At 38.4% G+C, this 15,379-nt stretch overlaps 1 protein-coding gene across 4 annotated transcripts in view; it reads right to left on the reverse strand.

The window, feature by feature from the left end:
- Window positions 336-15,379, reverse strand: part of HTR7 (5-hydroxytryptamine receptor 7) — a 117,217-nt gene continuing 102,173 nt past the window's right edge. For 2 of the 4 annotated variants that reach the window (NM_019859.4, XM_024447973.2), the window contains exons 2-4: window positions 8,352-9,107; window positions 3,106-3,203; window positions 336-2,041 (exon numbers count right to left, since the gene is read on the reverse strand). In NM_019859.4, coding sequence (NP_062873.1) covers window positions 1,995-2,041; window positions 3,106-3,203; window positions 8,352-9,107 — 901 coding nt within the window. In that variant the 3' untranslated portion in view covers window positions 336-1,994. Of the gene's footprint in view, window positions 2,042-3,105; window positions 3,204-8,346; window positions 9,108-15,379 lie in introns of all 4 variants that reach the window. The other 2 variants (NM_000872.5, NM_019860.4) reach the window with 2 other exon arrangements.

Here is a 15,379-nt window from a genome sequence, read left to right on the forward strand (position 1 = left end):
CAGCACTTACTATACTATATTGTGACAAATCGAGACATGTTTGCCTTCTACCTGATGGCAAACTCTTAAAAGCAAGGACTGTGCCATACCCATCTTTGTCCCCTTGATGCCAGCAATGCTAATGTGCCAGGAGCCCAAACAATGCTCATTAATCAGATCAAGTAATGAACAGTCATTGTTTTATAAAAATAAAGTCACTAAGTGAATGAATCCACAGTGAAATGGAATTGAAACCAGAGCTGTCTTAGCTACCTGTTAGGATTTTAGCAAACACGTAAAATGTCTGCCCTTCAGCCATTCTACAGACAGCAACATGTATGACATAAGACCTTTAATTAAAAATTGTTACTTACGTTGCTTTATTTCAGCTACAAATAAACTTTATTTGATGTAATGTAATAAAACATTTTCAAGTTTAACAATATGTATCTGACCATAAATAATCATTTAAATTATGAATATAATATATACGGTCACTTCAGCAAATTTGCGGTTCAGGAATTTGTACAAGCTTTGTCTGAAAGGACAGTGCCCTCCTCCCCTTTCAGGAAAGGTAGCTTTTCCCCATGTCTGGTAAGAAGCAATGTCAATGGGAGTTAGAAGAAGTCCATAATCCATGTCAGAATTCCACTTTATCCTGTGAGAGGACAGCTTGCTTTATTGTAGGAAAATAATATTCTCTTTCAGTTCACTCTTATCAAATAAAGAATTGCATTCATTTTTCCCCTTGTAGGTACAGGTACTCTTCTATTCTCATCTACTGTCTTTCTGTCTCCTTAGCTCTTAATTACTACATAGTGCCATTTAAAAAATATATATCTGCAAAGAGACCTTTTCTGTTTCCTCACCTGCCTTTCATGTCTACCATTTTTTGGTGGGTAGGGGTGGGAATCAGAGGACAGAATTGCTTAGGCACACATTTGATTTAAGATACATAGAACACAAAAACAAATTCTCTAGAAGGAACAGACTGGTGTTCTGAAGCATTTCCCAAGAGTGGTCCAGGTGACCTCGCTTCACACAATTTGGTTTAACACAATGCAGCTCAACAAGAATGAACATGTTTATGCCCCATCTCCAGAAGCATCACATTTCATGGAAAACCCATCATTCCCACACTTCTTCCACATAACATACAGTTATGGGCCAGCCCATGGGTGGGCCCACTGCAGCCTTGTAGAAAATGAGAGTCAAAAACATGCCAATAATCATGTTAATTACAACGCAGTTGGGTACCACTTGAGCTTCACTGCGATAAAAATCCTCACAGAAGGCATCCCACTCCCCTCTCAAGACCCTTCAGAGCACGAGAAAAAGCTTTGCTCATGTTGTATGCTTCTCTCCATCCTGAGACCTGTTCCTGAGTTATACCATAATAAGTGAGTTAACACAGAAAAGTACATAGGTGGGGAAATCACAGAGACCCTGCAGAAAAGCCAAACTATTTGACAGAAGCTTGAAACAAACACTGCTCTGGGAAATCATTTGTATTAGCTGATGACTGGATTCTGTTTTCTAACATGGACATGCAACATATTCAACACTACGCTCACCGCAGTTTGCTTGGAAAAGCCTTCTGTCATACAACAAAATACATTCTGTCTCATGAATGATTCCTGCATATTCACCACAACGCCTAGACTCAGAAGCATGGGAAGTGTGCACTGGAACTTTCTCCCACTTGCATGGATTTGGACATATGCAAAGCACCAGAAACTGCTTCCTTTCTGGAACTCAGTTCTGTTGGTGTGCTTACTGCTGAGATGATCTGCTATCTTAAACTGAGAACACACAATAGCACTGATCCACAGAAAAAAGGAGAAGTCACCATCTCCCTCATAAGATAGTGTGTACAACAGATCACCCTGTTTGTCATGTTTTAGACATCCCAAGAAAGGACAGAAGCTGCATTCCATTCTGCAGACTCAGCAAATGACTTCCTTCTGTTTCCACCTCTATTTTGCCTTGTTTATTTCATCTCCATTGTTCTGCTTTCAATCATGAATCATGACCTTTTTTTCTACAGTAGTCAGCATTTTGTCTAAAAAAAAGAGAGAGAAAAATAGAAAATAATTTAGTAGAACTGTAAATGTGAGTTTTCATTTTGTGGTAGGTGGACTTAATTTTTACAGCAGTCAGTAATTTGAATCATTTGTGGCTTTTAAGGGATTATGAGTATCCTTCAAGGGAAAGAAAAAGTGTTGTGACTCTTTTCATAAATTTCATAACTTCCACAAGTTGCCAAGGCTTTAATATATTTGCAAATCAGCCCCAAATAACCCATTTAGAAATTCACCTTTTTAATACAGCTATAGCAAAAAATGACTTTGCTCTCAAAAATCCTTGCAAAATACTATTGCACCTGCCCCACTTGAAAAGAATAATGACTAAATAATGATTACCAATGAGACGTGCTCTCTCCCTCAAACCTAGGAAGGTGTGTTATTGTAAGGTATGTGTGTAGGGACCAAGAAACTTCACTTCTCTCCCTCGTTCCTAGATGCTCAGAAGTGGCATTAGTGATAGAGAAGTGTCAGCCAAGGGCTGAGAAAAAGTCCCTTTCTCCTGGTGTAAAGCCACTCCCCTGACTCTGCACCTCCACAGGCCTCAACTTACCACACTACATCATGTGCCTAAGAGCTAGGTCTATGAGGACCCAGAGACTGGGACTGTGCCCCTAATCTCCACCTACCCACCCCATCTAAAGCACCCCCTACCCTGCCATTTGGCTGTCTTGCCTGCAGTCCTGCTCTTCCTTCTTTGAGGTCCCCCTCTCAGCCCAGCCCTTCAGATGGGTGATCAATAGATGGATTTTGCTGGAGACATGGTTTCTAGCTTTTCCCCTCAGCCTCACACAATAACACCTGAGGACAAGTACTGCACTTCAGCCCAGACTCAGCACTCTAGGCTCCACGTATCTGAAGAGGGGACTGGCAACCATCTGTGCTCCACAGACACATTCCTAGCCCAGGGCCACTGTCTCTTCCCAGCACAGGAGAGACAGTGCTTTCTCCAGCTCAGCACGGCTCTGCTCACATAGTTCATGTTCTGAATTCCTCCAGACCACAGCACTATCTCCAAAGTCTCCCTTTCCTTGCTACCCACCTGCTAACCAATTGTGATGGTCTGGAGATTGTAGCACCCACACAGATACCGGTGGCCTCTTTTCTGGTCTCAACAGCACCCTCCTTGTGCAGGCCCTCCTGCAATTTATGGCAATTCAAAGCAAATCCATAAGTAAATCAAATTTTAAAAGAAAAAAAGAATCCTTGATTATATTTCATTATCATATTTGGTTTTATATTACCAATCTGTGAATACTTGTGAAAAGGATTAAAATTGATAGCAGTAAATTAAAATTACCAGTGCAAAAGTATTCACAGCTTTTCCTCCATCTATTCACTTCATTACCCCAGGGAAAATTTTCGAGTGCCTGATGAACTCCTGAGGTTCTGGTTATGCTGATCAAGAAAATGGGGAGAAATGGGTAAATATTTGGGAGTAGGAACAGTCTTACAGGTTTGTACAGGAAAGAAAGAAACTATTATGTAGGAGAATACGTAGAGCCAAGAAGGCAGAGCAAGGCGAAAAGGTAAGAGAGACTAGAAGCCCAGAAGCTAGATGGGAGGAAAAGAGCTGGAGAAAGCCCTGAGTCTGGAGGAGTCCAGAATCTGCACGGTGGCCACAAGATGAGTGAGAGCTAGAGAGAGGCAGGGGGAGCAAAGGGTTCTGATTACAAGTCTCCTACTAGCCACCACCACCTCTGCAGCCACCCCAGCACACTAGATTAAAAGCTTCCAGAGACTTCAACTGTCCCTTACTCATCTTTCTACCCTACCATGCCTGGTTCCATGCTTTGTACATAGCAGACCCTCAAATGTTTCTGGGAAAAACAAGCCAATGAAGAGACTCCTTACATCCATTTTCTACATTTGGAGTTATCCACACAGTGCTACTGCATCAGTCTTGACCATTTTGATGACTCCATTCCCCTACTTGCAGATTCACTGATCCTACTTGCAGATTCACTGATGGCTTACTACTACAGAGTGTCCCACATTTAGCATTAAGGATTAGGTACTTCTTTGTTGGGGGGTGGGCGGGGGGTTGCTGGCCTGTATACTGTAAAATCCTTAAGAGCAGCCCTGGCCTCTACCCAGTAGATGCCAGTAGTGTGCCACCCAGACTTGTGACAACCAAAAATCCCTCCAGAAATGGCCAAATGGCTACAGAGAGTTGGGATGGGAGGCAAAATTACTCCTGATTAAGAACCATTTGTCAATATTAAAAGTCCAAATTCTTGGAGCTAGCATAGAAGAGCCTTTATAATTTCATCTCAATCTACTTTTCTGCTTTGATCTCTAACAGTTCCTGCACCCAAATGCTTAGCTTCAGCCAGATGGTCCTTTGTATAAGCTCCCACATTGGTGCCTTTACAAAAAAAGTCCTCTTCACCTAGAATACCATTTCTGCTCTCCTTTCACTATAAATGCTTTGACCAACTTCATAGACATGCTTGAGTTCATATCCTTCAGGAAGTCTTCTCTGATTAGGGTTAGTGTAAGCTCTGAGTTATTTTCCTTTCCTTTGAATCCCATAGTTTTTCCTGTCTCCACCTTTCCTTATTACAGAAAGGTTGCCATGTGCATATGTCTTAGCCTAGCCAGGCTGCTATAACAAAATCCCATAAATTGGTAGCTTATAAACAACAGAAATTTATTTCTTATAGTTTGAGAGGCTGAGAAATCCAAGATTAAGCCACCAATAGATTCCATGTCTGGTGAGGGCTCGCTGTCTGCTTCATAGATGGTAACTTCTAGCTGCTTCCTTACATGGTAGAAGGTATGAACAAGCTCCCTCAGGCCTCTTTTATAAGGGCAATAATCCCATTCATGAGGGCCCTGCCCCCATGACCTAATTACCTCCTAAAGAATCCACATTTTCATAGTATTGCATTGGGAATTTGGTTTCAAAATATGAATTTTGCAGGAGACACAAACATTCAGGCCATAGCAACATATGTCTGTTTGTGTAAGGTATATCCAACAAAATTATGTGCATAAGGACATGAAAGATATCATCTGTTTTCTGTATCTTCCTCAATGCATGGCAGCCATATTAGAAATTTCCTAAAGTTGATGGATATTTTTAGGCTAATCGTCCTTAATGAAGTAGATATTCTGTAATTATAAATTCAAACTGAGAGAAATGCAAAGAAGATACAGCAGACTATGGCCTGTTGGCCAAATACAACTGGCAGCCCCTTTTTGTAAATAAAGTTTTATTGGTACACGGGCCTATCTGTTTACTTATGTCAGTGACAAATTACTCATCAGTGAGATGAGTAGTTTCAATAGAGACCATATGGCTAGCAAAGCTTAAAATATTTACCACTTGGCCCTTCACAGTTAAAGTTTGCTGACCTCTGTCTTAAGCTTACAGGAAAACAACACCCAAGCCTCCAGACTAGCTAAAGATACAAAGGCAAATATCTTTAGACTTTATGTTAGCTGATTTATTTTTATAAAAGGCACAGTAGCATAGAAGTTAAAAGCACTTTTGAACACAGATGTCCTGGGCTCAAATCCAGCTCTATCACTCTCTATATGACTGTGGGGGAAATCATTTGACTTCTCCACGCCCTTGTTTTGTTATTTTCAGAATGGAAATGAAGAAAACTAACCTATCATAAACTTTTGAGGATTAATTGATCAAATTCACATAAAGTGCTCAGCAAAGTGTCTGAGAGTGAATCCTCAGCAAACGCATGTTATTATTTTAAACTGGAAAACCTTTTTGTGCTACATTTTAAAGATTACCATTTTATGATCTATCTGAATTATCTATGAATCATTAACTAAAATAATCAATAAAATGATTCTCAAGTTTTTTGACCCTATGGATGCATGCAAATATAGCAGTGTTTCCTTGCTCATGACTTTATCTGTTCTTTCCTACTTTATACACTGGCTGCTTAACTGGATCCCCTGCCACCCATCTTTCCCTTGTCTGCCCTCCTCACTATTGCCAGAGAGACCTTCCCATGTTACTCCTGAGAACTAAAACCAACACGCTTTCCTTTTCCTGTGCTAAAAAATGCTGCAGCCAGGCAAAATAACCTAGCTATTTGTTCTAGGAAATAGTCACTTTCAGAAGACTATATGCCAACAAAAATAGCCTACTTATCAAGACTAGTTTGCTCATTAACACTCACTTCACAGCCCTCATCTAGCTGTACTTACCAGTCTAAAGCTATTATGTCATAAACTCTGCCTAATCCTCACCAGTTCCCTACCTTCAAATCACCCAGCCCAAGCCCCAAAACCCTATCAATATCCTTGCCTTATTTCCTTCATCTGAGAAACTACTAAGACTGTCTAGGAGTGGATACCACTCGTAGTGCAGTAAGTCTAATAAACTTTACTTACTTAGAGTAACAATTCATTCTCATTGTCTTCTTAGAGAGCTTATGGCTAGTCTCCAGCTCAAAAATATTCTGAGACTCTTCACTGCCTATATACTGAAGTCACTTGACAAGTATAACTGCATAACATTCAATACAAGCATCGGGGTGATTCATATCACAGCTACCACTTAGGGACTGTGTGAACATAGGTCAGTTACTTTTGTTCCTGAGCCTTAAGTTGTTCTTCTGAAAAGTGGGGATGCTAGAAGCACCTATTTTGCAGGTAGCATGCTGCATAGCATGTAGCGGGTGTTCAATAATGGTTAGCAGTTATTACTTTTATTTATCATCTATTATGTGTCAAGCACTGTACTAGATTCTGCAGAAAGAAATCTGATTAAGACATTGTTCCTTCTCTGAAGGAATTCAAAATCCTAATGGTCAGTTCAACGAACTCTTATAGGCATAGTAAGATCTCTGGGTTTGCTTACAGTACATGTTCTAGAACTTAAAATTACATTTTTTAATGCTACTTTTTATATTGTGAACAATCTCGTGTACAAAAGAGTATATAGAAGTAAACATGAATGCCTGTGAAGCTACACTCAGCTTAAGAATTAGCATAGCTGTAGTCTTCCAACTTTCAGTTGTAAGATAAAGGCAGTCCAGTATAAGAAAAATGAGTAGCACTGGGATTCAGATGATGTGGAATCTAGACTTAGTTGTGACACTAGCTAAGTGTGAGACATCTCACTTTTCAACTCCCAGTTAGCTCTTCTGTTGAAAGACAGGGGTGGACAAGATGACCAGGAAGGTCCCTCTCTGCTAGAGTGGTCCCTGGTTCTCTAGTCTACTCCTCCCTGCCAGGCTCAGTGAAGAACGACACCTCCAACACTAATCTGCTCATTCTCTCACCAGAACCTTCCAATTTTTCATTCCAAGTTTATTTTTCCCCTGACTTTCAAACGTGAAGAAATCTCCTCTACCTCACATTTAAAACAAAGTCTTCATCAGACATGTTGACACCTCTAACTAGTATACTATCTCTTTCCTTCTTTACAATGCCAAATTTTTAACATGTGGGTCACTTCTGAAATTTCCATTTCTCTATCACCATCAGATCCTTTTTCAGATCCCAAGAACCTATTGTAATTGCTTCCTTGAAAGTCACTAAGACTTCTTAGACCAATTCTTGGTTCTCACCTGCCAAGATGGGCAGGAACATTTCCTAAAAGCTCCTGTGGCTCTTTTTCTTTTATTTTTTAGAGGCGAGTCTTGCTCTGTCAACCAGGTTGGAGTGGCATGATCATAGCTCACTGCATAATCCAACCCCTGGGCTCAAGCTATCCTCCTGCCTCAGCCTCCCAAGTGGCTAGGATTACAGAGGCGCTCCACCATGTCCGGCTCTTGTAGCTTTTAAGACCTTGCCTCATCCTGGCATCTCCCCACACTAACAACTCTTCTTTTTCCTGGGCTGCCTCCTTTCAGCCCAGGTGAATGTAACTGCATACTAAAAAGATCATTGTGCCTCCTACCTCAAAAGAAGAATTTATCTGTGAAGGATGAGGTTATCAAAAAAGCTTTACTGGACAGAAGAATAATAACAACTAAAATAATAATGTTACACAAATTCAGATGTAAGGATATCATTTGGATGTCATTTATGGAGAAAGAAGGGAAAATATCACCTGCCTTGTTGTCAATCACATCAATTGCAATTCATCAGCAAATTAGTCTCATCTACCAATCCAACTAAGTACCTATTTTTGGCTTTTGGAATTTTACTGGGTGGAAGACTGGAGTCTATACTGTTGTCAATTCAAATCTGGTATGTTTAGTAAAAACTAAGCTAGCTACTCGTTCAGGAAGCTTTCTGTGATGTGCCTCAAAAAGCTGCATAAAAGGGTTTGGGGGATAAAAGGAAAATAGTGATAAATGACCTTACAGCACAAACTCAGGTCTCTCTGGCCTCTCAGCAAGCTTCAGGGCTTCATGCATGCCTGCAGCTGAGAGCTTCCGGTTGATATTCCGGTACTGGCACTGGAGCAGGCTGCGATAGGTGGTCCTCAGGTCCCGGTTGAAGAAGGCATATATAAAAGGGTTAATGAGAGAGTTTGCATAGCCTAGCCACAGAAATGTCCTCTCCACCCACAGTGGGATGCAGCTGCAGGAAGTGCCACAGATGAAGGGTCTGGCTGTCGAGAGGAGGAAAAATGGCAGCCAGCACACGGTAAAGGCCCCGACGATGATCCCCAGGGTGGTGGCTGCTTTCTGTTCTCGCTTAAAGATGGAGATGTTTTTCCTTTCATGCTTGAGGAGTCTCGAAAGGTTTGCACACTCTTCCACCTCCTTCTGGAGCTTCACTATGCCATTCAGGGCGATGACGCTGTCTGGCTCCACTCGAGGGAAGCCAGGAAACTTGTGTTTGGCAGCACTCTTCCTGGCAGCCTTGTAAATCTGGTAGTACATGAAAAGCATGACGGACATGGGGATATAAAATGCCACTGCGGTAGAGTAAATCGTATAGCCAAAGTCCTGGCTGATCAAGCACACCTTATCATCATTTACATTCTGAGCCCATCCAAAGAGTGGAGGTAAGGTGATGGAGGCGGAGAGAAGCCAGACGGAGAGAATCATCTTCGCCATGCATTTCCCATTCTGCCTCACAGGGTATGTGAGGGGCCTTGTGATCCCAAGGTACCTAGTGGAGAGATGGAAAGATAACAGATGAACACCGTGATCATAACTGGTCAACCAAGCAAGTCCTGCCAGCCAGGTACCAGCGCCAGTCCTCGCAACAGCCCTTCTAGGTAGGCATCATTACTCCCATTTTGCAGAAAGGTAAACTAAGGCTCTGAGATGTTACCTATTTTATTCCGGGTCACACAGAGGCATTGCCAGATTGTAGCCTGAGAGCCCTCTGACTCTAAAGTCAGTCCATGCTTTGTGCATGCCTTATAGTTTTTCACAATCCACGAAGTCAACAAAGTTTAAAAAGCTCTCCGTCCCCATGACCACAGCCACCAAAATCAACCAGGACAACATATCAACTCTGATGTAGGATGTTGTGACACATTCTCAAAACTTAACCAAGGTCTACCACACTCTGGTATTATACACCCAGTGATCACCCCAGCTGTCTTAATTTAGGCCAGCTTTTAATTCATTTTAGCTTTCCCTTTGCATTACAGCAAAAGCATTTCTTTAAGATCACACAGATTCGTGAGATAATTTGGGAATCCTAGAGTGTTGAAATGGTTAGCAAAAAATGATCATTATTATTATCATTATTATTGTTATTATTTTGCCCACAGAAAATTCTCACACAACAGCAATGTCAGAGGAACAATCTAAGAAATAAAAGCAGCCTGACTTCTCTCTCCAGTTCTTAGGAGAATCACAAAACAAGGGTGCAATTCTGAAAAATGTTAGGGAAATCCAACATTTTCTCTGTGCTTAGTTCTATAGAGGGAATAAATATTACTCCAAGTCTGTGATCAAGGATTTGTAATGCAAACAAGTCTGTGCACACAGAGAAAACATATACAGAAAAGATGTTCTGCCAAATGCTTAATATTTTTCAGCTTTTCAAACCTGTGTTTTCCTCATATTTAATAGTCGTAGAGTCTTTTTTGGAAAGCTAGGAGCACTTGAGAAGCAAAGACAGAAAAAAAACTGGTCATTTTGTTGTTGTTTTTACTTCCTTTATGTGTATAAAAGATACATTCTTGAAACATAAAAAGGAAAGATACAGAGAGTCCCTAACTTACCAACAGGTTATTTTCTGAAAGTTAGTCAGTTAGTAGGTTAGAACTCAAAAAACAATTTCTGCTAGAAATATCCTTTAATACTTAAATTATCCCACAAAAGTCCAAAATCATACTTTCACAATGAAAATTAGCATCACTATAACACTTACAGGAAGACAACACTGAAATATAGTAAAAAATAATGAGCCAGATGTTCTTACTTCTCTAGAATTCTTTCCTTCAATAAGTATTAATGGAGCTCATTTTACTGGACAGGTTCTGTTCCAGGTGTTGGGGATAGGACAGTGAGTAGAAGAGACGAAAATCCTGCGTGCAGGCAAATGGGGAAATCATGTCAGATGAAGGGGAAAACCTGAGGCCATGGTAATGTTGAAGGGAACTTCTGATCCCTTCCAAGGAGCCAGGCGTTCATGACGCTGGTTCTTCATTTGCAAACTTCCGCCTCCCCTTTTCCTTAATAAAGCTGACCTACAAGCACTACCCTTAGATTTATCAGCTGTAGTTAGGATTATGATGTGGCTCCCAAACAGAATGAGGGAAGAGAAAGAGGGAGGCTTTCCTGAGAATGCAAGAATAAGAGCTAAGAAAAAGGCGGGCAGTGCGGGGGAAAGTAACTCAGAAGAAGAGAGGGAGTGAAGGAGTAAGGAAGAGGGAAAAGGGAAGAGGGAGGGAAAAGAAAAATCTAGTCCTTGTTCTCAACCAGCTCCTGTGAATGTGGCCTTTTGGGCACCTTCCTTATTTCCCCAGCAGCCTTTCCCAGACATGGATTTTGATTTCTCGTCTTTCTTTGTCTACAGCCCCAGCATAAATGCCTGCTCTCAAGCCTCAATGTGGCATCCAAGACATGAGCCCAGGATGGTGCCTCAGGTTCACCAAGGAGTGAAGTCCAGCAGGTAGAGGTTACTTTACACAATTCCCCAGGAGGCCACCAGATGGCATTGTCAGATCATTTTACACCTACTTACTGGGAAGGGGGGTGTTTCAATAGGGTAGGTGGTTGAAGTAACAGGTATTATGTTGGAAAAATTATGACAAAAAAGGTTGTATTTTATTTGTGGAGCATTTAAAAAATTAGCATGCCTGGAATTCACAACCTAGTAAACTCCTATTTTGAGGAAATCTGTTTTCTCTCCCATTTCTTCACACTTTCCTTACTAGAACTATGCCTTCCCACTTAAATAACAATCCCATCTTTTTCCTGGCTAAGTAAATAATACAGAATTCACAAAGATTAATCCGGAGAGATTAATAGAGTACAAAGAACATTTCAGAATTTTAGATAATCTCATTTAAATGGTATGTTTATTCATTCTAGTACACTTAGGCTGACACATTATATTTCAATCATGATTAGTCCATATTCAGTCTGCCCTGGATGTACAAATTATATTTCATAAACTCTGTTCTACATTAGGCACCATTCTCTAATGATTTCAAGACATCCTACAATAAGGTAGTTATATTTACTTCTTAGGCTCCTCACTTCCACCTGGTGAGACATCATAAGGCTAAAATCAACTGAAATATTACTAGAAAAAAAATGAGTGCTTACTAACGTGTCTGGATATAAAATAAATAAACAAAAGTTAATATTTTGTTTTAACCATTAACAATCAGAAAATAGTGTGGAGATGATGCAATTAACAACAACTAAAAACACCTAGGAAAAAGCTTTTTAAAAATAATACCTACAGTCTATATGAAGAAAATACAAAATGCTACTGAGGTACATTTTTTAAAATACTTAAATCCATGGGGGAAAAAACTTGTTTTTTCAATAAGAAATTCTAGTATTATAAAAGTACCTATTTCCCCTCAATCTATAAATACCATATAACCCCCAATGAATAAACTGGCATGGCTTTTGTTAACGATTTTAAAGCTCACCAAGTCAACATGCAAAAATGTACAGATAATCTGAAAAAGAATAATGAAGGGATACTTATCCCATTAAAAAAAAGTATAAAGCCACAGAAATAAAAGCCCCAAAATAATTATTCAAAAAGATATCAATAAAACAAGATAGGTTCAAATTGATTCAAATATATAAGGGAATTCAATATAAAAGGAGTCACTTTAAATCACTAGTAAAAAATTGGATATTCTTGAAGTCTCACAACTGGCCAGCAATTGAGGTAAAAGTATTACTGGCTTCTTATCGTTTGATTAAATATAAATCTCACATGGATCAAAGATTATCATGTAAAAAAATTAAACCCTAAGAAAATATTGGCAAGTATTTCCACAATTCTGAGATGACAAAGGCCATTCTTAACTATAATACAAAAGCTTGAAAGTACAAAATGAAACATCAATAAATGTTTGTAACAAACAAAATAAATAAGTGACATTTATAAGCAACATTTAGTTTAATTCAAAAATCATTCTGTGAAGAGTTAAAAGTCAAATCATAAACTAGAAATCTAAATGGCAATATCACAATATTCACAGATTTCCTACAGGTCAATACAAAACACAGCCATCCCATAGTAAGAACTTCAGAGTTTGTAAAAGAAAAAACAAAAAGCCAACCATCCCAATAAAAATATTTAAGCAATTGATCAAAGAAGAAAAACTAATGGACAAAGCCAGGCGCAGTGGCTCATGCCTATAATCCCAGCACTTTGGGAGGCCAAGGTGGAAGGATCACTTGAGGCCAGGAGTTTCAGACCAGCCTGAGCAACATAGCAAGACCCTATCTCTATTTTAAAGAGAGAGAGAGAGAGAGAGAAAGAAACTAATGACCAATAAGCACTTAAAAATATTCAGAACTTCATTAATAAAGAGATGCACATTTTAAAATGACACATTTTTATCATTTGCAAATATTTAAGAAAGACAAAATCCAATATTAGAAAACTGAAAAAGCAATCATTCTATTACGTTGCTATTGGGAATGTCAACTGAAATAATTTTGGAAGACAGTTTGGCAATTATCACACATCTAGGATTTTGTCTTAAGAAGATAATTGTACAAATGCAAAATGACTAATGTGCAGACATGTTACTAAACACATAATAGAGGAAAAAGAATGCAATCTAAGTATTATCAATAGGAGATTAGATATGATATATATATATACTGTATATAATATGTATAATGCAGCCATTAAAAATGATGATGTACGTCTGTATTTACTAACACAGAAACAACAGAAGAGTGGATTAAAAACACATAGCTCTTAAAGATAAGTAATAGAATATCATATAACATATATTATTAACCTTTCTATATAAAACTGGGTGTATGCTTGTGTGAGCATGTCTGTGTATGCTCAGATGTCTACAAGAATATCAACTAAAATATCAATAGTAGTTTTACCTGAGATGAAGAAATTTTAATGATTTTAAATTTCCTCTATATTTTCTATGCTTGATATTTTTGTAGTGAGCATGTAAAAAAAACACTATTTTAAGAACAAAATAAAAGATTTAAGAGGATTCTGAGATTCCTAATTTATATGATTCTGGCAATAGAAACAATCTGGTTCATAAAATCTTTAGAAAGCTGATAATTAAATCTTACATTGTTTTATTTGATTAGCTTGTCAAAAGTACTTTATTAGAATACATTCATAAGTTTATACAAAAGAAAAAGAACTCATTGGCCTTTAAAATCCCATAATTACTACATAAAGTAATATTGGTATTCAGGGAAGTGTTTCTCTAAATTATACATTCATTCTTCCAAACCTTGTATAGGATAAATCTTACCTTCAAGGGTGAGAAAGAAAAAAAGAAAAAAAAAACTAGACTGATTTTTAACATTCCTTAAGTATGCATGTTTAATATTTAATCACACTAACATTTTATCCTCACTGTTAATTAGAAAGCAGGATGCTTATAAAGCCTTCAAAATTTTACTGTAAAATGCATACGAATGTTAAAGTACAGTAAATCTCAGAGACGAAAGCACTGAAGTATTATATAATTGAGGAATATATGCAACTCACAATAGGGGTGCCATTGAAGTACAGGTTCAGAGAAAAAGAGGATTAGGGAGTTATAATCTGCATAGAGAGGGATCGGAAGTAAATTAACTCTGCTGCCTGTCTTCCATTCTAACTGTATAGAAATGGTAGATAATGGTTCTTTAATTAAATGGCTTCTTCTGAGTTTCACTGCTATAGAATGATAATTTAGGGAGTAAAAGAAACTAGGTAGAATTATTCTGAAATATGGTGGTTTTTTAGAGCGTTCAGCTTAAAAAGCGTTCACACACTTAGAACACCTCCTCCAGGAGATTCCTCCCTTGCAGTTGGCAAAATCCACTAGAATCTCCGGCTGATGTCAGTGGCTGCTGAAACTGCCAGATTATAAGAATCACTCAGGAGCTTTAGAAACATGCAGATTCCCAAGCCACTATTCTCATTCAAGGATTGGAGACCTAGAACTTTGTGTTTAGGATTGACTGTTCTGGGTCTTTATCCCCCACACTGCTGTCAAAGCAGCCTTCTCCCATTCAATTACAAGGACTTTATACTTACCACATGAAGGGCTTTACTTTACTGTATATTTCATCTGAACAGTTTGCTTCCAGTTTAGCCTAACAAAATCATTATGAATCATGTTTCCATTATCTCAGCTATTAGATTTCCCAGTCCTGTGCTAAATGAGATATGTGTGGTCTTTATATTTTAATCAAGTTGTAGATTTTTCTTAAATGCATAATACACAACAAGGTTTTTTAAAACCTTTTTGACCATGGTTCACAAAAAGAAATATAACATTTTATATAATAAACTGATATGTGTGTATATTTATATTTAGGAAATTAAACAAAAGTTTCACAAATCTGTATTTACCATTATAAACCATTATCTACTCTCTTCTATTCTATTTCAGACTTTTTAAATGCTGGCCTTAACTCACTAAATTGATTTCATAACCCATTAATGGATCAAGGCCTAAAGTTTGAAAATTACTCACCTTCACCAAACATATCAAAAGGTGTTTAACATCACGAGTCATGACAAAAATGCAGATTAGCACAATGAAATGTCACTAACAGCCATCAGAGTGGTTAAAATTAATGATGATGATGATAAAAACTATAATGCCAAGTGTTCTGTGAAGATATGAAACAATTGTGATTCTCACACATTACTGGTGGGAATGTAAACTGATGCAGTAACTTTGGGAAACTATTTGTAATATCTATTAAAGCTAAATAATACACACTCTATGATCTAGCAATTCCAAG

The sequence above is a fragment of the Homo sapiens genome, chromosome 10, assembly GCF_000001405.40.
Source record: "Homo sapiens chromosome 10, GRCh38.p14 Primary Assembly".
Classification (NCBI taxonomy): domain Eukaryota; kingdom Metazoa; phylum Chordata; class Mammalia; order Primates; family Hominidae; genus Homo; species Homo sapiens.